This window comes from Homo sapiens, chromosome 13 (assembly GCF_000001405.40).
Source record: "Homo sapiens chromosome 13, GRCh38.p14 Primary Assembly".
Taxonomy (NCBI): Eukaryota; Metazoa; Chordata; class Mammalia; order Primates; family Hominidae; genus Homo; species Homo sapiens.
In genome coordinates, this window is record NC_000013.11 from 39,205,381 (window position 1) to 39,228,436 (window position 23,056).

A 23,056-nucleotide genomic window follows, 5' to 3' on the forward strand; every position below is an offset into this window, starting at 1 on the left:
AAATAAAATAATTAAAAGGCCAGCCAATTTCTACAGTCTTGGAAAGCAGTGGCTATGACCCCCAAATAGAAGCAAATCTTATCAGTAACGTTTTTACTACTTAAAAAAAAAAAAAAAAGACCAAATTCCTGACTTGTAAGCAATGAGAAGTGTTACAGAAGCAATGGGGAGTTAGGTAGTTGGCATCACAGGCTCTGTGACTATTTTGGAGCTTTATTACTTGGAACACATTCATCTAATTGCAATCAACTTTCTATAAAATACAAGCATAGCTTCTTGAAGAGAAGAGTAAACATGTGTAAGTTGAAGGGGCACATAAACAGAACCAAGAAATATGAAACATACTGGGAAGAACAACAAGAGCATCCTACCTGAATGTGTACCCTTGCTGCTGTCCTGGAGCTGTTCCCTGAGCTGCACTGTGTGGACCGACATCACTCCCTGCATCCTCTCCTTCCCCATGGGCCTTACCAACACACCAAACAGGAGTCATTGCTTGGTGACTCCTTCTTACTTTCTGATTACCTGTTTCTTTGTGTCTTCTCTGTACCTTCTTGGAGTGCTCAGAGTGTCTCATTAGACTTTTACTTTGAGCTTGTGGTTGTCAATCCCCTGCTGATGACAACTCACTTTGGGCTGGTAAGGTGGGCCACTGTTTGCAAACTCATGGCACAGCAGGTCTGGATAAAAGAGGAAGTTCTGTGTGCAAGTGAGAAATGGGCAACATGCGCAGAGGAGAGGCTGCTGATAGATTGCCTCTCACACTAATTAGCTGGACAACTTCAGAGAGCACCACAGCACCTCTGGGGGGCCTCAATTTCCTTCTGTCTAAAATGAAAAGGTAGGTCTTTTAGGAGTCTCCTTAGTGCTAACATTGTATGACAGAAGACTGCTTTTTTAAAAGTTCTTTTATTATTATTATTATTATTATTATTATTATTATTATTATTATTATACTTTAAGTTCTGGGATACATGTGCAGAACATCCAGGTTTGTTACATAGGTATAAACATGCCATGGTGGTTTGCTGCACTCATCAACTGGTCATCTACGTTAGGTATTTCTCCTAATGCTACCCCTCCCCTAGCCTCCCACCCCCTGACAGGCCCTGGTTTGTGATGTTCCCCTCCCTGTGTCCATGTGTTCTCATTGTTCAACTTCCACTTATGAGTGAGAACATGTGGTGTTTGGTTTTCTGTTCCTGTATTAGTTTGCTGGGAATGATGGTTTCCAGCTTCCTCCATGTCCCTGCAAAGGACACGAACTTATCCTTTTTTGTGGCTGCATAGTATTCCATGGTGTATATGTATATGTGCCACATTTTCCTTATTCAGTCTATCATTGATGGGCATTTGGGTTGGTTCTAAGTCTTTGCTATTGTGAACAGTGCTGCAATAAACATACGTCTGCATGTGTCTTTATGGTAGAATAATTTATAATCCTTTGAGTATATACCCAGTAATGGGATTGCTGGGTCAAATAGTATTTCTGGTTCTAGATCCTTGAGGAATCACCACACTGTCTTCCACAATGGTTGAACTAATTTACACTCCCACCAACACTGTAAAAGCGTTGCTATTTCTCCACATCCTCTCCAGCATCTGTTGTTTCCTGACGTTTTAATGATCACCATTCTAACTGGCGTGAGATAGTATCTCACTGTGGTTTTGATTTGCATTTCTCTAATGACCAGTGTTGATGAGCTTTTTTTCATGTTTGTTGGCCACATAAATGTCTTCTTTTGAAAAGCGTCTGTTCATATCTTTCTCCCAGTTTTTGATGGGATTTTTTTTTCTTGTAAATTTGTTTAAGTTGTTTGTAGATGCTAGATATTAGCCCTTTGTCAGATGGATAGATTGCAAAAACTTTTTCCCATTCTGTAGGTTGCCTGTTCACTCTGATGATAGTTTCTTTTGCTGTGCAGAAACTCTTTAGTTTAATTAGATCCCGTTTGTCAATTTTGGCTTTTGTTGCAATTGCTTTTGGTGTTTTAGTCATGAAGTCCTTGCCCATGCCCATGTCCTGAATGGTATTGCCTAGATTTTCTTCTAGGGTTTTTATGGTTTTAGGTCTCACATTTAAGTCTGTAATTCATCTTGAGTAAATTTTTGTATAAGGCATAAGGAAGGGGTCCAGTTTCAGCTTTCTACATATGGCTAGCCAGTTTTCCCAACACCATTTATTAAATAGGGAATCCTTTCCCCATTGCTTGTTTTTGTCAGGTTTGTCAAAGATCAGATGGTTGTAGATGTGTGGCGTTATTTCTGAGGCCTCTATTCTGTTCCATTGGTCTATATATCTGTTTTGGTACCAGTACCATGCTTTGTTGGTTACTGTAGCCTTGCAGTATAGTTTGAAGTCAGGTAGTGTGATGCCTCCAGCTTTCTTCTTTTTGCTTAGGATTGTCTTGGGTATACGGGCTTGTTTTTGGCTCCACGGGAAATTTAAAGTAGTATTTTCTAATTATATGAAGAAAGTCAGTGGTAGTTTGATGGGGATAGCATTGAATCTATAAATCACTTTCACCAGTAAGGCCATTTTCACAATATTGATTCTTCCTATTCATAAGCATGGAATGTTTTTTCCATTTGTTTGTGCCATCTCTTATTTCCTTGAGCAGTGGTTTGTAGTTCTGCTTCAAGAGGTCCTTAACATCCCTTGTAAGTTGTATTCCTAGGCATTTTATTCTCTTTGTAGCAATTGTGAATGGGAGTTCACTCATGATTTGGCTCTCTGTTTGTCTGTTATTGGTGTGTAGGAATGCTTGTGATTTTTGCACATTGATTTTGTATCCTGAGACTTTGCTGAAGTTTCTTATCAGCTCAAGGAGATTTTTGGCTGAGATGATGGGGTTTTCTAAATATACAATCATGTCATCTGCAAACAGAGACAGTTTGACTTCCTCTCTTCCTATTTGAATATGCTTTATTTCTTTCTCTTGCCTGATTGCCCTGGCCAGAACTTCCAATACTATGTTGAATAGGAGTGGTGAGAGAGGGCATCTTGTCTTGTGCTGGTTTTCAAAGGGAATGCTTCCAGCTTTTGCCCATTCAGTATGATATTGGCTGTGGGTTTGTCATAAATAGCTCTTATTATTTTGAGATATGTTCCATCAATACCTAGTTTATTGAGAGTTTTTAGCATGAAGGGGTGTTGAATTTTATTGAAGGCCTTTTCTGCATCTATTGAGATAATTATGTGGTTTTTGTCATTGACTCTGTTTATGTGATGGATTACGTTTATTGATTTGCATATGTTGAACCAGTCTTGCATCCCAGGGAGGAAGCCAACTTGATCATGGTGGATAAGCTTTTTGATGTGCTGCTGGATTCAGTTTGCCAGTATTTTATTGAGGATTTTCACATCAATGTTCATTCGGGATATTGGCCTGAAATTTTCTTGTTTTGTTGTCTCTGCCAGTTTCAGTCTGCAGCTCCCAGTGAGATCAACGCAGAAGGCTGCCTTTAAACAAAGTCTGAGAGGTCAGAATGTTAGACAAAGACCAAAAATAACTGAAGGGAGAAATGCACAAGCAGATCAAAGAGAAGGACAAAACTCAGGCCCCATTCTCTGTTTCTCCTATTAAAATGAACGATAATGGAGAAATGAAGCGCAAACAACATGCAGGTGTAGGGGCCAAGGGAAAATGTCCCCTTCACCCTCTGAAGGTTTGCTGAAAATCAATTGACAAAAAGCAGATTAATAGTAGAAAAGGCACACAAATTTATTAACATCCACAGGGTGAACCACAGTGATTACCTCATCACACAATGGGGTACAGATGCTTCTATACACTTCTCCTTAGAGAAAATGGAAATGGGAAATTGTGGATTATTTCAGCACAGTAGTAAATAATGTTTAGGGCAATTCAATGGGCTTAAAAAACATACAATGATCTGGGACAATGATCTGTTGGGCCCATTGAGCAGACGACGGTTTGTGACAAAAGTTTGTCTGGGTGTGTTAACAGACTTTAATCTTTCTTCCTGTAAGAGGAGTTTAGTTAATGAAAACCCAGGGAAGGAACCAGGGATCATTGTTTTCATCTTTGATGGGTCTGGACTTTAGGCAGATGAGGGAACTTCAGGGAACAACTTTATGCTGCACTTTAGGAGAGAGAAAGGATTGAGAGGCAAGAAGTGGGGAGGTGAGAGAGACCTTGATGTTTCTTCTTCAGTTTAACATCTCAAACCACCACATTTTGGGGGAATGACCTTCTCAGCCCCATTACAAGTTTAAGCAGCTCATGTAGATGGTCCAGTCTTTGGCTTGTGGGTCCCTGTTTTCATGGCTTATGTGTACCATTTTTTATCGATTAATTGAGCCACTTCTTATTTTTAAAAGTGCTCAGCACCAGGCAGCCCTGTTGCCTGTCACTTTCAGGGGCCCAAGGCTGTCCATTTCTGCCTCCTGAAAGTTAGGGGTGGGCTCTGATTACTACCCAGTATTCTGTCCCTGTCGGAGCATTGTCAGCCTCTATATGTACTCAAAGCTTGGGCCTGATCCTCTCCTCCATGGGCAAGAGCCAACAGAAACCATGAATTATGTTGATAGTGAGGAATGGAATCCTGCCTCCCTGGAACAAGCCCAGATGATGTCTTTGCATGATTTTGATCCCTAGATTTCTGAAGCCCATGCCTGAAGAAATACTTATCCTAGTAGCATTTCCAGTGTTATTCATTCCCTCTTGCTTCCTTTCTTCCTCCTCTCACAATTTTCTTACCTGTCAATCAGTAAAAAACAAACATATGAGGAAGATATCTTTTCAAAGAAAGGTAGTTCTTTTTTATCTTTTCAGGCTAAACATGCAAGCTGGAAGTATTCATGAATACTTCATAAAGTCATTTATACTGGGCCTTCAGCCAAAGTTCTCAAAGGGATTGGTAAGCATTAGCTCACAAATTTTCATCCAAGAACATTATTATTATATCAAAGATGAAAAAAACAAAACAAGAAGTTGTTAAGAGAATGTCTCAATGTTCCATGTTGAAAGAGATCCCAAAATGCTTAAGTACTCTCTGTACCCTTAAGCCATTAAGGCAATGGAGAGAATGGGGTCAGTGCTGAAGTCAGCAGTGCCAGGCTCTGGTCTCTTCAAATGTGGCCTGATGTCCCTACACATTCACAGCTCACATTCTCTTGGAAGACAAGGTCTCCCTGGAAATCTGCTGCCTCTCCTGAATTCCCTATCACCAGATAGTGGATTTCCAGACATCTGGGTAGTTCTTTAACTTCTCTCTCTTCCCTCCTCTCCTGTGTCACCAACTCCAATGAATCCTACTTCCAAAATCTCTCTCAAACTCCATTCCTTTTCTTTTAACTTTTGCTGCCTTTGATCAATCCCTTATTATCTTCAATGTGGACATACTATAAATATCCTAATTAATTTTCTACTATTCCTGTCCTCTCTGAAGCATCTTTTATTCCACCTCCTGGAATGACACTTCTAAAATGTAAACCACAGCATGTCACTCACCTTCTTATAAAGAGGTATAGTCTACCTGTAACCTTAGCAATCCATTGAGCTAGTGAAGTTGCATTAATAGTATACACCCAAATATTGCAAGCTTAAAAAGGCTCTTTCTCTTCTTGTTTTCTGTGAGTGCCTGGAAATGTTACATTACACATGTGCATCATGTGGTTCATCTTTTGGGCTACCACCTACAACACCAGACTTTTCACAACCAACATACCTCTATTGCCCCAGGCACAACTGCTCCCAGACCACTGTCCGGGCACTGTCTCATCATTCCACTTGGGCCACCACCCATAATGCCTGGTCTGCCATCATTGGCTCAGAATTACTCATACATTTCTTTGCTGTGATATGTATTGGAAAGTGAATTCCTGTGATGAATGTTAGGCTCTGTCATAGGGTCCTATGCTTGTTTTCTGATGTTTTAACATTTTGTTGGCTTTTCACACAGTGTTTGTACTCTATCTTCTACCTCTAGAGGGCCTGTGCACCCCTTTAGGGTGGCCAGGTCAGGGATACATTTATCATATACCTGGAACCACTTCTCTCCCATTCTCTCATTCTGTTACTAGTTGGACTCAGAGAACCAAATCTTTCTTCTCTTGGGGTGGATTCTCTGTCAGGCATCCCTGCACCTTCTGTGGTTAGCTTCCACTGGTTGTCTCCAGTGTGTTAGGCATTCCTGTAGATGTCTAGAACCCAATAGTTGTCATTATTTGAGATATTTTCTCAGAAGTTTCCTTAGCTCCCATGAATTTTAATCAAATCAAGTAAGTCTTAAGAGGACTTCCATCAAGGGCTTCGCATACCTTATCTCTTAGGTTCAACTGGGTCCCATAGTACATTTTCATTTCCTCAAAGTATTTACAGGATTAAAATCCAAAAATTTCTCAGATAATATAGAGTCCTTTAAAATCTAGCTCTTCCTGACTGGGTGTGGTGGCTCACGCCTGTAATCCCACCACTTTGGGAGGCCGAGGTGGGCAGGTCACCTGAGGTCAGGAGTTCGAGACCAGCCTGACCAACATGGAGAAACCCCATCTCTACTAAAATACAAAAATTAGCCGGGCGTGGTGGCATGTGCCTGTAGTCCCAGTTACTTGGAAGGCTAAGACAGGAGAATTGCTTGAACCCAGGAGGCGGAGGTTGCAGTGAGCCGAGATCACACCATTGCACTCCAGCCTGAGCAACAGAGCAAGACTCTGTCTAAAGAAAAAAAAAAATCTGGCTCTTCTTGTTTCCAGTTTTGTCTCATTCATTGTCACTGTCCTGACTCCCCAGCCTCAAAATATGTCTCCACTCATCTGACCCTTCCTGGATGCAGAGCCTTATTTGTGTTCTTCTTCGACCTGGAGTGCCTTTTCTGAAACCCTCGTCCACCAAACTCTCACTCCAATTTCAAGACCCAATTCAAGTGTTAGGTCCTTGTGAAGCCCTCTGAGACCCCTCCAGGCGGTGCTCATTGCTGTTCACTCTGCGTTTACTCTCTGCCTGCATCATCTTGCGTTCATCCTAATATGGTATCAGTATGACACTGCCACACATCTTGTCCACCAGCTGTGAGCTCCTTGAGCACAGAGAAGAAATTCGCTTTTGGGAAACATCAGCATTGAAAAAAAATTGAGAAAGAATAGTCAGAGAAATAATAGGGGAACCATAGAAACTTTTCAGCTTAAGTCCTCTGTGGAACAAGGCAGGTATAAAGAAATGAAATATGTCACATAAAGAAACTTTAAAAAATATTAAAAACAGTTTTGAGAATAAACTGGGATTTCTTTTAGCACTTTTAGTAAAAAGATAAATTTTATATAGATGCTAGTGATGGATTAGCAAACAATAGCAGGATGCCTGCTAGTGATTAATATAACTTCTTCAGGATGAAAGGAAACTGTCTACGCTGATAACTTCTCTCTTCAGACAAATCGTGTGGAATGAGACTATAATTACACTGCACTAGTCTTCAAACCAAGGAAACCCATTAGTAACCAAGGATCTTGATTAAATCCTGCAACAGAAAAAGGGGTGATGGAACTGCCTCAAGGCCTCAGTGAGAGAGACTATTCTCCCCAAATCAAGTGTTGGGATGGAGAGACTTGTTTTACGGAAAATCAGATCAGAGAAAGATCTTTTAGATTAAGATTACTACTCATCTTCATGTAAAATTTTTTATCCCCTTAAATAGTTTTGTCAACTCTAATTTATTGTTATGCTGTGGTTTTAAAAGTTATATTTTGTATGATTGGGAAAGCATATATAGCTAGTGTTGAGTTAATTGCTTCTTTGTGAAAACTAACTTTGATCATAAGGCCAATAGCCCAGGCGTCACTATAACCTGTTTGAGCATCACATCTCAGGTACATTGCTTAGGAAGGAAAGTCAACATGAAAATGTACTATTTCTGTTTCCAATTCTGGTGAACCCAAAGATCTCCCTTTATTTTTTCTAAAAACCAAGCTTAAGCAACCAGCTTTATGTTTGCTTTGTTTCTCCTAAAACTTCAGTCCTCCAAGGTCAAGATCATCTTTTAAACAGAAAGTAAATTCAATCCAATTTTATACCCCAAAATCAGGACACAAACAAGATCTTGAAGGAGTAGGAAAAACCCTAGTCTTCAGCTCCTTTCTCAAAAACTCTAACCCCACAAGGGTGGGGTTAGAGTTTTCTTTATGATTCTCTTTGCCCCTTGGTGACCACAAGAGTTGGATAGTAATGAAAGTGGCAGTGGCCCTAGTGGTGATAACTACCGTTGAGACTCAGTTATATGCAAGGTATAATGTCAAGCATTTCCTCTTTCAAATTTCTTTTTTTTAATTGACAAGTAAAAATTGTATAATTTTATGGTGCAAAATATGATGTTTTCATGTATTTATGTGTTGTGGAATGGCTAAATCAAGCTAACTAGCATAGGCATTACCTCACATGCTTATCTTTCTTTGTGGTGAAAATACTTAAACTCTACTCTTTTAGTAATTTTCAGGTAGTCAATGTATTGTTATTACCTGTAGCCACCATGATGTACAATAGATCTCTCAAACTTTTTCCTCCTGTCTAACTGAAATTTTATGTCCTTTGACCAACATCTCCCCAATTCCCTCCTCTCCCAGCCTCTGGTAACTGCCATTTTACTTTCTGTTTCTATGGGCTCAAGTTGTTTAGATTGCACATAAAGGTGAGATCAGGCAGTATTTATCTTTCTGTGCCTGTTTTATATCACTTAACATATTGTCCTCCGGTCTCATCTATGTTGTCACAAATGACAGGATTTTCTTCTTTTTAAAGGGTGAATAGTATTCCATTGTGTATATATACACCACATTTTCTTAATCCATTTATCTGCTAAGGGACACCTATGTTGATTCTGTATCTTGGCTATTGCGAAAAATGCTTCAATGAACATGGAAGTGGAGATTAACTCCTTAACACACTGATTTCATTTCTTTTGGATATATATATATTTAACAGTGGGATTGCTGGATCATATGATAGCTCTATTTTTAATTTTCCAAGGAACCTTCACACTGTTTTCCATCATGGCTGTACTAATTTACATTCCCACCAACAGTGTACAAGGGCTCTTTTTTCTAATGTCAGGCATTTCTAAGACAACAACTCTAACTTTTTTAACAACACTGCAAAGTAGATTTTAGTATCTCTATTTTATATAATACAATCATCTGTGCTTCAAATACACACACACACACACACACACACACACACACACACTGTCCAATTTAATCTTTACAACAATTCTCTAGGGTAGATATTGTTATTTTTATTTTATAGCCAAAAGTAATTGAGCGTCATCGAGGAGAAGTAACTCATCTTGGCTCATTTAAATATGAAGGAGCAAAATGAGAATTCACACTTAAGTCTCTATGATGACCTAGTCTTAAAAACCCAAATCCATACAGAGTGGTCTCATCACTGTATATCTGAATATGCATCCTCATCCTTCCTTATAAATTTTGAAAGTCCTTGAATATAATTGGAATTAGATAACATTTAGTTTAGATTGTTTTTGAAGATGAATGAATTAGTAATAATGGCAAACAAATGAACATCCCTATGTCTTTATCTAATTGTCAAAACTTATTTAATTTTGAGTTAAATAGAATAAATATTTAAAAGTCAGTTAAGTGTAAGAAATCATTCAACATTTTTATAATTTAGACAAAATGGCAGTTATTATTTGACATGGCAGATGTCCTGTGTACCAGGCTGTCTCACCCCTTGCCATGTTCCTGCTTAGTTTTGTACTTGTAACATGTTTCTCCACCTCCTGCCCCACAGTGCTTGGCATATGAGAGGAAATAACTGATCTCTTGTTTTACACCTGTGTTTGGCTGCATGCTTTGTCTGTTTGCAGAGGGTCTTGCTTGGCTGCTCTTGCCAGTGTTCCCTGGTTTGGTCCAGGGCCACTACTAACTCAGGTCTTCCTTCTGTCATAGCAGGTGTAATAAATTTCTATGGCTGCTATAGCAAATTGCCACAAACTTAGTTGCTTAGGCAATACAAATTTACTATCTTTCAGTTCTGGAGGTCAGATATCAAAATGAGTCTCATTATGTTAAAATCAAGATATCAAAAAGGCTACATTTCTTTTTTGGATGCTGCAGTAGAGTGTATTAGTCAAGGTTTTCCAGAAAAACAGAACCAAGAGGAAATATATATGTAGTGAAAAATTGGCTCACACAAGTATGGAGGCTGAAGAGTCTCACAATCTGCTGTCTGCAAGCTGGAGACCCAGGAAAGCCAATAACGTGATTCCAGACCAAGTGCAGAGACCTGAGAGCCAGGGTGCCAATGTTGTAAATCTCATTCCAAGGGCGGAAGACGGCATGTCTGCTCAAGCAGCAAAGCAGAGCCAGCAAATCCTTCCTTCCTCTGATTTTTGTTCTACTCAGGCCCTCAAAGGATTGGATGAGGGCCACTCACACTGAGGAGGGCCATCTACTTTACTGAGTCCACCGATTTAAATAAATGCTAATCTCATCTGGAAACACCCTCACAGACATGCCTGGAAATAATATTTAATCTGTGCACCTCATGGCCTCAATCATGTTGACACACAAAATTAACCCTCACAGAGAGAATCTGTTTTCTTACCTTTTCCAGTTCTAGAATTTGCCGGCATTCCTTGGCTCGTGGCTCCTTCCTCATTCTTCAAAGCCAGCATGGCAAGTTGAGTCTTTCTCACATAAAATCACTGCTTCTGTCATCATACATTTTCTGACTCTGTCCTCTGCCTCCTTCTTCCTGTGATCACCCTGGACCCACCCTGATAACGCAGGATAATGCCCCTATCTCACGATCGACTGGTTCGCAAACATATTTCCACCTGCCACCTGAATTCCCTGTTGCCATGTAACATAACATATTCACAGGTTCTGGGGATTAGGATGTGGGTGCCTGTGGGTGTTTGTTATTCTGCCTACCACAGCAGGGCACATGGTCATGCAGACGGAGAGGCTCATCAGGAGTGGGTGGCAGGTTGGAGTTGCGGTTGGAGAGTGTAACATATAGACAGAGCATGTGGTCCCTGCACTCAGAACCGAGCTCAGATGCCAGCCTCATGATTTGCAGCCGCATGACATTCAACAAGTCACCTCACATCAATGAGCTCAGTTCCATCATCTGTAAAGTTGGAAGGGACCATGTTAATAAACGATATGATACATTTAAATTGATTAGCACAGAGCCTGAAACTTAAGAATAATTATAGCACCTAAGATTTTTGAGCTCTTGTGAAGTGTTCAATGAAATTACAACTATGATTTGGATAACGATGATTTTGATGATGTAGCTGAGAGCCTGAGGTAAAGTTTGGCCAGTCAACAGTTGCAACAGGGACTTAAATCAAGAATTAATACAGCAGAGCTCTGGAGTCTGGGGTGGTCTTAGTAATAATTATTCAAAACTGGCCAGACAGCATTTGCTGCTGTTAAAGCCTAGGACAATTTGCCCTTTCTGCTAAATCATCTGCTGTGTCTTATCCTCTTCTCCCTGCCCTTTTAGGACTTCAAAGATTATTGTTCACCATTTAGCTGACTCTTCAAAGTCAGTGTCCCCTGGCAGCATTTTAAGATGCATAAAGAAGTTCAAAAGCAACTCCAAATTATCAGGGCTTGGGTCCTGTGTCTTCAGATGTCTCCTTTTACCTACATGGTTCAGTAGAGACCATAGCCTTGAAGTCCTTAAAATGAATATCCCTAGGTATAATACACCCTCTTCATCTTAGAAAGAATAACCTTGTGAAATAGCTTAGCTAATGACACACATATTACCTGATAGAAACAATTTAGCAACTGTCACCATATAACAAAATAATGACATCCTGGGTTTCAGGGAGAGACTGACTTACTAAGGGAGAGTATCTCAAAACTAGACAACGCAGACAATCAACTGATTATTACATACACATATCATTTAATAGCTTAATAGCAAATATTTCCAGTTTTGTTTTTGACAGTATAAAATAGGTTTCTTATTTAAAAATTAGTCTTAGGTGCTAAACTATCAACCTCTTCTCCCTGGCCCTGGGATCATTTAAAATAGTGTAATACAATTATAAAGTCTAAGTATCTAAAGCAGAAATGGTCACTGGTTGGCATTTATGATGTCCCTCTGCTCTCCCAACCCCCATCTCCATGACAATCAGCACTGATAAATCAGTTCCAAAATTATAGTCAACGCTCTTCTACAGGTAGGCATGAAAAATCAGCTGGAGATGGCCCACGAGATGAAACCTCGCAGACCTCCTTGAGCTACAATGTTTTAGTCAGATGGGGGGAAGGTTGCTGAACTCTGCAGTTATTGCTACTAAAGAACAAAGAGCCATTCATAACTTACAGAAGCCAAACTAGCAGCTGAAGTCATACAATGAACTAGAATATTCCTTTGAACAATCAATTTTTAATTAGTTAAATACATAGACAATTAAAATATTTCATGTAAGCTTGAAAATCTCCTTAGCCACTCACTCCTGTAATTTCAATAGCTTCTCATATTTCTTATGTATCTAAACTTATAAATCTATATGCAAGGAAATGTATGTTGTTATTATATATTAGTTGGAATCCTAAATACCAAGTTGTAACTCTAAAAAGTTAATGAAGAAAGCATAGAGACATAAGTTACAAAATAAGAAATACAGATGGTCAATAAACATTTGAAAAATATACAACCTTTTAAAATCAAAGAAATGTAAATTAAAATCTTTTCATTTTTGGCATCAAATTTCCACAGGTCTGGTTATACTGTTTTGCTGTGTATTTCATTATGCTGACAAGAGCACAATGAATTGGGTACTCTCATTAAATATTGATGGACTGGCAAATTGATAAAACTTTTCCAAAGGCATTTTACAATAGACATCAAGGAACCAAATATTTAGATCTCAGATTTATTAATTTTTAATAGATATTTGGTAGGTGTAGTTCAAAATATATGTACATAAATACTCATCTCACGATTTAGAATAATAAAGAATTACACATCATATATACAGTATTTATAATGGCCTCTTTATATGTTCTGAAATCTTAACAGAATACATAATCACTAAAAATAAGAGGCCTTTGAAGAGTTTTAAATAATATAGGTGAATGGTTAAAAAAAAAGAGCTTGATACAAAAGTGAGTATGTACATGGTCCCCATTATGTAACACACACATACACACACACGCACCAAAGACTAAAACTAAAATGATAATTGGTTGGGCACGGTGGCTCACGCCTGTAATCCTAGCACTCTGGGAGGCCGAGGAGGGTGGACTACCTGAGGTCAAGAGTTTGAGACCAGCCTGGCCAACATGGAGAAACCCTGTCTCTACTAAAAATACAAAAAATTAGCTGGGCATGGTGGCAGGTGCCTGTAATCCCAGCTACTTGGGAGGCTGAGGCAGGAGAATCACTTGAACCCAGAAGGTAGAGGTTGCAGTGAACCGAGATTATGCCATTGCACTTCAGCCTGGATAACAAGAGCAAAACTCCATCTCAAAAAAAAAAAAAAAAAAGGATAATGGTGACTGCCTTCCTGGTGGTGAGAGTGCTATTGATTTTTATTTTCTTCTTTGGACTTTTCTATTTCTTCTTTGGACTTTTCTAAATCATACACATTTTCTATAATGAAGAGTTTTTGTTTTATAATTTAAAACATTTGCAAAACTAGTTAAGATATCTTGTCAAATTTGGAGTAAGTAAAGATTTCTTAAACAGGATACAGAACAAAACACACTGAACAGAATATGAAAAAAAAAATTGATAAATTGAAAAACGTTAAAACTAAGAATTTACACTTATAAAAAATGTAATAGTGAGTAAAGAATGGAATCTACAGAGTGGGAAAGTATATTTTGCAATACATATCCAACAAAAGAATATGTCGAGAATATACCCCAGAATACATAGAAGATAATCAGTAAGAAAAAGTCAAACAGTTTAAAATGTTAAAATGGGCAAAAGACTTGAGCAGTTACCTTACATAAAAGGATATTGAAGCTGGACATGGTGGTGTGTGCCTGTAGTCTCAGCTACTCAGGAAGCTGAGGTGAGATAGCATGAGTCCAGGAGTTGGAGGCCATCTTGGGATTCCCGCCTGTGAGTAGCCACTGCTCTCCAGCCTGGGTAACATCGTGAGACCTCCATCTCTTAAAAAAGTATATCCAAATGATTAATAAATAAAAAATGCTCCTGACTGTAGACTTCAGAAACAGGTACATAAAATGCAACAAGGTGCCACAACACACTCACCAGCATAGTTAAAATGAGAAAGATGGAAAGTATCAAAAATCTATGTAGAATAACTGTAACTCTCACACACTGCTAATAGGATTGTATGTTGGTAGAATGACCTTGCAGATGTGTTTGGTAGTTTCTATTAAAGATGACTGCATGCACATTCCATGACTTAGTAAGTCCACTACTGTAATATATAGTCAATAGAAATGCGTATATAAACTCACTGAGATACAAGTGCTGGAATGCTCAGGCCAATACTGCTCCAGTGTCCTCAACCATAGAATAGATAGATAAATTTTGGAATTCAGGAATAAAAATAAACAGTCACCCACCACATGGACAAATCTTATAAATGTAAGTTTGATTGAAAGAAGCTATTCTCCAAGTAGTATACTGTATGATGCTATATTAGTCTATTTTCATGCTGCTGATGAAGACATACCTGAGACTAGGTGATTTATAATGAAAAATAGTTTTAATGGACTCACAGTTCCACATGGCTGAGGAGGCCTCACAATCATGGTGGAAGGCAAAAGGCACATCTTACATGGTGGCAGACAAGAGAGAATAAAAACCAAATGAAAAGGGTTTCCCCTTATAAAACCATCAGATCTCATGAGACTTATTCACTACCATGAGAACAGTATGGGGGAAACTGCCCTCATGATTCAGTTATCTCCCACCAGGTCCCCCCCACAACACATGGGAATTATGGGACTACAGTTCAAGATGAGATTTGGGTGGGGACAAAGCCAAACCATATCAGATGCTATTTACATAAAGTATAAAAACAGACAAAACTAATAATGATGGGGAAGTGATTGGAAAGGGATATGGGAGGTTTCTGCGCTGCTGGTAAAATTATTTTGTGAACTGAGTAAAGATACAATACATAGGTCTTTTTAGACTGGGAAAGTTTATGGAGCTGCCTTTTGTAGTTATCATGTCATGGCTTCAGATCTGGAAAGAGTATAAGTTTTGTTGCTCACAGTATCTAGTCTCAGTCAACTCAGTGACTCTTACTCAGATTACTTGATTCAATTTTACATGTCCTTGGTTCTGAAGAAATGTACAGGTATTTTCTGTCAAAATCTAAAGAGCTTTGAATTTGATAGACTCCTAAGATGCATATGTGTTTTCTATCAGCATGATAAAGAATTTTGAGCCAGATGAGATTTTACATTTTCTCCTACATTGTACATTTTTCCTACATTTTGGGGACCATACAACCCTTCTGTCTTTAAGAGATAAACAAATAAATTTGGACAGCTCCAAGGGTTTCCATAACTGTGGTGACAACTTAAGATGCCACTCTACCGAATGAGAACAAATTTACGTCATAAATGCTTTTGCTTAAAGTAAGTTTTGTCAAAACTTATACTGCAAAGTATTTTTTAAACTAAGTTACTTTGACTTTTTAGAACAGTATATAGTGGTTGTGACTTAAGCTTAACTACAGAAATGGATTCAGATCCAAGTTCTATTATTCAAGAATTATATAGCTTGGGGCTTTCTTTTTTCTCAGCTTTAACCAAGATTCATCTATTAAATTAGGATAATAACATCATTTTATTTTATATAACTTTTAAATTTTATTTATATATTTTATATATGTAAATATATTTATATTTACATATTTACATATATGCAAATATGTAAATATATTTATATTTACATATTTACATATATGCAAATATGTAAATATTTTTACATTTACATAGAGAGAGACATGGGCTCCCTCTGTCACCTGTGCTGGAATGCAGTGGTGTGATCATGGCTCACTGCAGCCTCAAACTCTCATGAGCTCTAGCAATCCTCCTACATCAGCCTCCTGAGTAGCTGGGACCAAAGGTGCACACCAATATGCCTGGCTTTTTTTTTTTTTTTTTGGTAGAAATGAGGTCTCACAATGTTGCCCAGTCTGGCCTCAAGTGATCCTCTCACCTAGGCTTCCCAAGTAAATGAGACAACAGGTGTGGATGACCATGCCTGGCTAATTTTTCTTTTCTTTTCTTTCTTTCTTTCTTTTCTTTTTTTTTTTTCTTAAGAAGTGGTGTCCCAGGACAGATTTTCAGCTGAATTCTACAAGAGGTGACAAAGTAGGGCTGGTATCGTTGATACTGAAACTATTCCAAAAAATTGAAAAGGAGGCACTCCTGCCTAACTCATTCTATGAAGCCAGCATCATCCTGATACCAAAACCTGACCAAGGTACAACAAAAAAAGAAAACTTCAAGCCAATATCTTTGATGTACATAGGTACAAAAATCCTCAATAAAATACTGGCAAACTAAATCCAGCAGCACATCAAAAAGCTTATTCACCTCAATCAAGTTGGTTTCATACCTGGGATGCAAGGTTGGTTCAACACAACCTCACTGTGATCAATAAATGTGATTCATTACTTAAACAGAACTAAAGACAAAAAAATCAATAAATGTGATTTATTACTTAAACAGAGCTCAAGACAAAAACCACATGATTATCTCAATAGATACAAAAAAGGCCTTTGATAAAATTCAACATTCCTGCATGTTAAAGACTTTCCATAAACTAGGTATTGAAGGGATATACCTCAAAATATGTAAGAGCCATATATGACAAACCCACAGCCAATATACTAAATGGGCAAAAGCTGGAAGCACTCCCTTAAAAACTGGCACTAGACAAGGATGCCCTCTCTCACCACTCCTATTCAACATAGTTTTGGAAATTCTGGCCAGGGCAATCAGCAAGAGAAAGAAATAAAGCGTATTCAAATAGGAAGTCAAATTATCTCTGTTTGCAGATGACATGATCTTATGACTAGAAAGCTCCATCTTCTCAGCCCAAAAGCTTCTTAAGCTGATAAGCAACTGCAGCAAAGTCACAGAATACAAAATCAGTGTGCAAAAATTGCTAGCATTCATATACATCAACAACAGGCAAACAGAGAGCCAAATCATGAATGAACTCCCATTCACAATTGCTACAAAGAATAAAATACCAAGGAATATAGCTAACAAGGAAAGTGAAGGACCTCTTCAAGGACAACTACAAACCACTGCTCAAAGAAATCAGAGAGGATACAAACAAATGGAAAAACATTCCATGCTCATGGATAGGAAAAATCAGTATTGTGAAAATGGCCATACTGCCCAAAGTAATTTATAGATTCAATGCTATTACCATTAAACTACCATTGACATTATTCACATAATTAGAAAAAAAACCCTATTTTAAAATTCATATGGAACCAAAACAGAGCCTGAATAACCAAGACAATCCTAAGCAAAAAGAACAAAGCTGGAGGCATCATGCTACCCAACTTCAAACTATACTACAAGCCTACAGTAACCAAAACAGCATGGTACTGGTACAAGAACAGACACATAGACCAATGGAACAGAATAGAGAATTCAAAAACAAGACCACACCTACAACCATCTGATCTTTGACAAACCTGACAAAAACAAGCAATGGGGAAAGGATTCCCTATTTAATAAGTGGTGCCCAGAGAACTGGCTAGTCATATGCAGAAAATTGAAATTGGAGCCCTTCCTTACACCATATACAAAAATTAACTCATGATGGATTAAAATTTAAATGTAAAACCCCAAACTATAAAATCCCTGGAAGAAAATCTAGGTGATATCATTGAGAACATAGGCACAGGCAAAGATTTCATGACAAAAAATGCCAAAAGCAATCACAACAAAAGCAAAAATTGACAAATATGATCTAATTAAACAGCTTCTGTACAACAAAAAAAAACTATCATCAGAGTCAATAGACAACCTACAGAATGGAAGAAAATTTTTGCAATCTATCCATCTGACAAAGGTCTAATATCGAGAGTGTACAAGGAACTTAAACAAATTTACAGGAAAAAAACAAACAAAAAGTCGTTGAAAAGACAGTTCTCAAAAGAAAACATACGTGTGGCCAACAAACATATGAAGAAAACTCAATATCACTGATCATTAGAAAAATGCAAATTGAAATCACAATGAAATACCATCTTATGCCAGTCAGAATGACTATTATTAAAAAAGTCAAAAACCAACAGATGCTGGCAAGGTTGCAGAGAAAAAGGAGTGCTTTTACACTGTTGAAGGGAGTGTAATTAGTTCAACCATTGTGGAAGACAGTGTGGCAATCCTTCAATGACCTAGAGGCAGAAATACCACCTGACCCAGCAATCCTATTACTGGGTATATACCCAAAGTAATATAAATCATTCTATATGTTCACTATAGCACTATTCACAATAGCAAAGACATAGAATGAATCTAGATACCCATCAATGATAGACTGGATAAAGAAAATGTGGTTCATATACATCGTGGAATACTATGCAGCCATAAAAGGCATGAGATCATGGCCTTTGCAGGGACATGGATGAAGTTGGAAGCCATTATCCTCAGCAAACTAACACAGCGACAGGAAACCAAACACCGCATGTTCTCACTTCTAAGTGGTAGTGAATGATGAGAGCACATGGACAGATGCGGGGAACAACACACACTGGAGCCTGTCGAGGGGGCGGGGGAGGGAGAGCATCAGAAAGAATAGCTAATGGATGCTGGACTTAATACTTAGATGATGGGATGATCTGTGCAGCAAACCACCATGGCACACATTTACCTATGTAACAAACTTGCGCATCCTGCACATGTACCCATGAAATTAAAATTAAAGTTGAAAACAAACAAACAAAAAAAATGGGGTCCCACTACGTTGCCCAGGCTGGTCTCAAACTCCTGACCTCAAGTGATTCTCCTGCCTTGGCCTCCCAAATTATAGGATACAGGCATGAGCCACCATGCCTGGCCTATACGCCTGTTTTGATGATTAAATGAATAGCATAATTTTGGTCCACTATGGAATCTTAATAAATATTAGCTATTATCACTATGATATTCTCATTACAGAAAACTTGGTAGATCTGTTTTCTAAAACAGATAAAGAAAAAATTATTTTTAGTTCCATGATCATAGATCAGTGTAGCTACGGCTTTGATCCTTTGCCCAAGATGGCAGTGACCATTTTCAAGACCCCTTCATTTGTGCTCTTCTTCTTTACACCCTCAGCTGTATTGTACCTCCTCCACCTAATGACTACGACTGCCACTGTGATATTGAGTGGTAACTACAGGATGAGAAGGCTAATCAGGAAATCCAAGGCCTTCTTTGGTGTCTCAGAAAAGTACAAGTTCAAAGCTGGCCAAGTCATTCATATTCTTAAAACCCCTTCCAATTATGACATTCCATGATTCTGTCTCCTCATCTATCGGTAACTTTGCCATGGAAAAGTCAACTTATGTCCTAGTCAAATCAATTCCCTGGCATTTTCAGACTAAACATGCATTTGATGGATGGAATCCTTTTCCATGATGCCAGACACCTGGTTAGAAACATTTCATGTCTGTTTGTTTTGGCTTCATATATGCACGGCCTGAATTAGTCACTTTGTAAACTTTTTGTTGAGGGATTAAGAAGGGATACATTTGAATGACTAAAAAGGTAAGGCTCCTGAGATCTTTATCTCGTATTTTCAACAAGATGTTCAGTATCTTAGCCTATTTTTCCAAAAATAAAAGTCTTAGATAGTAAACGTCATGATAAATAACTACATTTTAGTTTATGTTTTACAAGGAAATTTTCTTTTTTATTCCTTGATTCAGTCACTCTCTTGTTATATATGCTCTTGGCAATCTGCATATCTGCTTCCTAGCACTTTATTAGTTTTAAAAAATGAGTAAATTTTGGATTTCGTTCTTGTCACTAGACTGTGGCTCCAGGAGAACAGCAATTATGTCCATGTGTTTATTTTATCTCCAGAGCACATTACAGTACCTGGCACATAGTATAAAGCTGATAGTGTCTCTTTCAGTAATATTTATAGTCCTCTGTGCTGAGGATACAAAGATAAATCATGAATAGTACCTGTCCTCAACGAACTCACAATACAGTAGAAAAACTGATCATTGTATTGATAAAAACACCCACAGGGATTATAAGAACACAGAAATGGAGCATCCAAGATACAGACAGAAATGTAAAGAGGTGCTGGGGAGCGCTTTTTCGAGGCAGTAAAACCTGAGTTGTTTGTTGCAAACTGAACCAAGTCAGTTTAGTCATGTACAACTCTTAGGTACTTTTTGGTAGATATATGTAGCTACCCAAAAAGTCTGAGATGGGAAGGGTTAGCCACCCTCCCTCACCCTTGCTACCAGCTCAGAAAGCCTCAGAACAAATTCAACCACAATTTATTAGACACAACACCCTTGAGCAACGCAGATACAAAACATCCATACAAATGTCCTGTAAGTCGGTGAAGTTCTGAAAGTTTCATTCCAGGAAGACAGGAAAATCTTCCTAGAGCAGGATTCCATTGCTTTTTCTCTGCACCATTCAGTCAAAACACATCCTAAACCAATGCTGGATAGAAGGCCACTGGAGAGTACGTAGGGCACCATGCCTAAGAATACAGGTTACAAATGTGCTGTTTACTTAGAGCCTGTTCAGGCTAGTGCAGAGAGTGGAGCTCAACTCTTTTAGTGAATCCACATAATTAATAGTGTTAATTTTGTAATGAAAGCTCATTTCTAACAGTCATCATGGTAATAAGTCACCAGCTTTTCTTGACACTCATCATGGTAAAGCGGTATCACTTATGGATCGAGAGAGTCCACAGCAGGCTTGTAGTAGTTTCCCCGGGGAGGGAGAGCTACTGACCACCCTTAGCCTGGGCGTTTGGGTGACATGTTAGCTCCCCATTCCACAGTGGAAGCATAAACTAACTGGCACATACATAATATCACTTTGATAAACTGAAGCATTTTAAAATGAATTTGTGATACTGTAACAATCTGTCCAATGCTAGTGTTAAAAAAAGAGTAGGAACTCCCTGGGGTGGGGGAAAGTAGTGCCGTCCAGGCAGAGAGGAACATGTGAGGTGCCTCAAATAGCCCAAGCTCATTCCCACAGCAGAGCCCTCCCACGTGCTCCTCCCTCTGCCTGGAATGCTCTGCCTCTATGTGTTCTCATGGATCCCTCTCTTACTTCACTCAGGTATTTGCCCAAAAGAAAAGGATCCCAGTCTTTACTATTGTAAATAGTGCTGCAATAAACATGCGTGTGCATGTGTCATGGACACAGGGAGTGGAACATCACACATCGGGGCCTGTCAGGGAGTAGGGGGCAAGGGGAGGGAGAGTATTAGGACAAATACCTAATGCATGCAGGGCTTAAAACCTAAATGACGGGTTGATGGGTGCAGCAAACCACCATGGCACATGTATACCTGTGCAACAAACCTGCACGTTCTGCACATCTATCCCAGAACTTAAAGTAAAATAAAAAATTTTAAAAAAAGAGAAAGGGATCCCACAGAGAAGCTTTTGGTGATGAATAAAAATTTTTCCTACCGTAACTATTCTTGTATCCATTTGCATTTTCTTCAGATCACTTTTCCTATCTGAAATTACCTAATTTTAAAAATTGTACTTTTCTCTATCTCCCGCTCCAGGATAAGCTTCATGAAGGAAGGAACTTAGTCTTGATCATTTGTGTCCTCAGGGCTCAGTATAGTGGCTGGGATACAGTAAGTGCTTAATAAAAAAGAATCTATGCCTCTATCCTCTCTGAATATATGCATAGAGAAGTGTCTAGAATGGTGATCATCTAATGTCAATGATTCTTTTGGAAAATATATTTAATATATTGAAATATAATACAATACATTGTTGATGCAGTATATTAAAAATGTCTATTTAAGTACATTTTGCTGTGGTTTTAAATTGATATAAAATAGCTTTCATTTCTGAGAGCAATATCTGAAGGTCAGGAAGTCACTTGCATTTTTATTATTTTAAACATATTTTTCATTAAACCATATAGCTGTGCTTTGCCATTAATTAGACATTAACCAAAGAACCTATCACATTCAAGCAAGAGCTATACTTAGCAAAAATCAATATTTTAAATCCTAGCCTCTAGCTCTTCATGTAGAAAGGTCTTGGGATGCAAGCTGCCTTACACTGGAAGGAAAATGGAATGCTGAGAGAAAAATCAGAACTAGCTGTGAAACTGTTGCTGCTACTTTTCAAAATCTTTAATCTTTGTAATACAGTTGACCCTTGAACAACACACGGGTTAGAGGCACAAATCCCTGCACAATCAAAATCTAAGTTTATCTTTTGACTCCCCAAATAACTACTAATAGCTTACTGCTTACTGGAAGCCTTACCTGTAACATAAATTGTCAATTAATACATATTGTGAGCCGAGATCGCGCCACTACACTCCAGCCTGGGCGACAGCGAGACTCCGTCTCGAAAAAAAAAAAAAAACGTATTGTGTATGTTACATGTGTCACATGCTGTGTTCTTATTATAAAATAAGCAAGAGAAAAAAATTATTAACAAAATCTTAAAGAAAAGAACATATGTTTACAGTATTGTACTGTATTTATTGATACCATAAGTTTATGTTGACGACAAGATGAATGAATTATCTATCTGAAATGGTGGCAACTACAGTTGCAGATCAATCTACAATATGTATCAAGCAATTAAACTTTTTCTTGTAATGTCATGACTTTTCTCTGCTTCTTTAGAGCACTGCAAGCATAACTAGTGGCACTTTGTATAGGTCCCACGTTGTCATTCAAGGTGTAAAATATGAAAAATATGTGAGAACCACAAAAGATCACTTTTGTTTGTTTGTTCTTGGTTTTGTTTTTGTTTTGGTGACAGAGTCTTGCTCTGTCACCCAGGCTAGGGTGCAGTGGTATAAACATTGCTCACTGCAGCCTTGCCCTCCTGGGTTGAAGTGATCCTCCTCCCAAGTAGCTAG

At 38.4% G+C, this 23,056-nt stretch overlaps 1 long non-coding RNA gene across 2 annotated transcripts; it reads right to left on the bottom strand.

Moving 5' to 3' along the window:
- Window positions 1–3,700: 3,700 nt before the first annotated feature.
- On the bottom strand, window positions 3,701–22,784 carry LOC105370168 (uncharacterized). 2 transcript variants are annotated; one of them, XR_001749842.2, is made up of 3 exons: window positions 22,449–22,784; window positions 13,955–14,125; window positions 3,701–11,111 (listed from the first exon to the last, which is right to left on the bottom strand). It is a non-coding gene; the product is annotated as an uncharacterized LOC105370168 (long non-coding RNA). The 2 variants fall into 2 exon arrangements; XR_007063763.1 differs by having other exon boundaries at window positions 3,701–4,724; window positions 10,584–14,125.
- Between the last annotated feature and the right edge of the window lie 272 nt (window positions 22,785–23,056).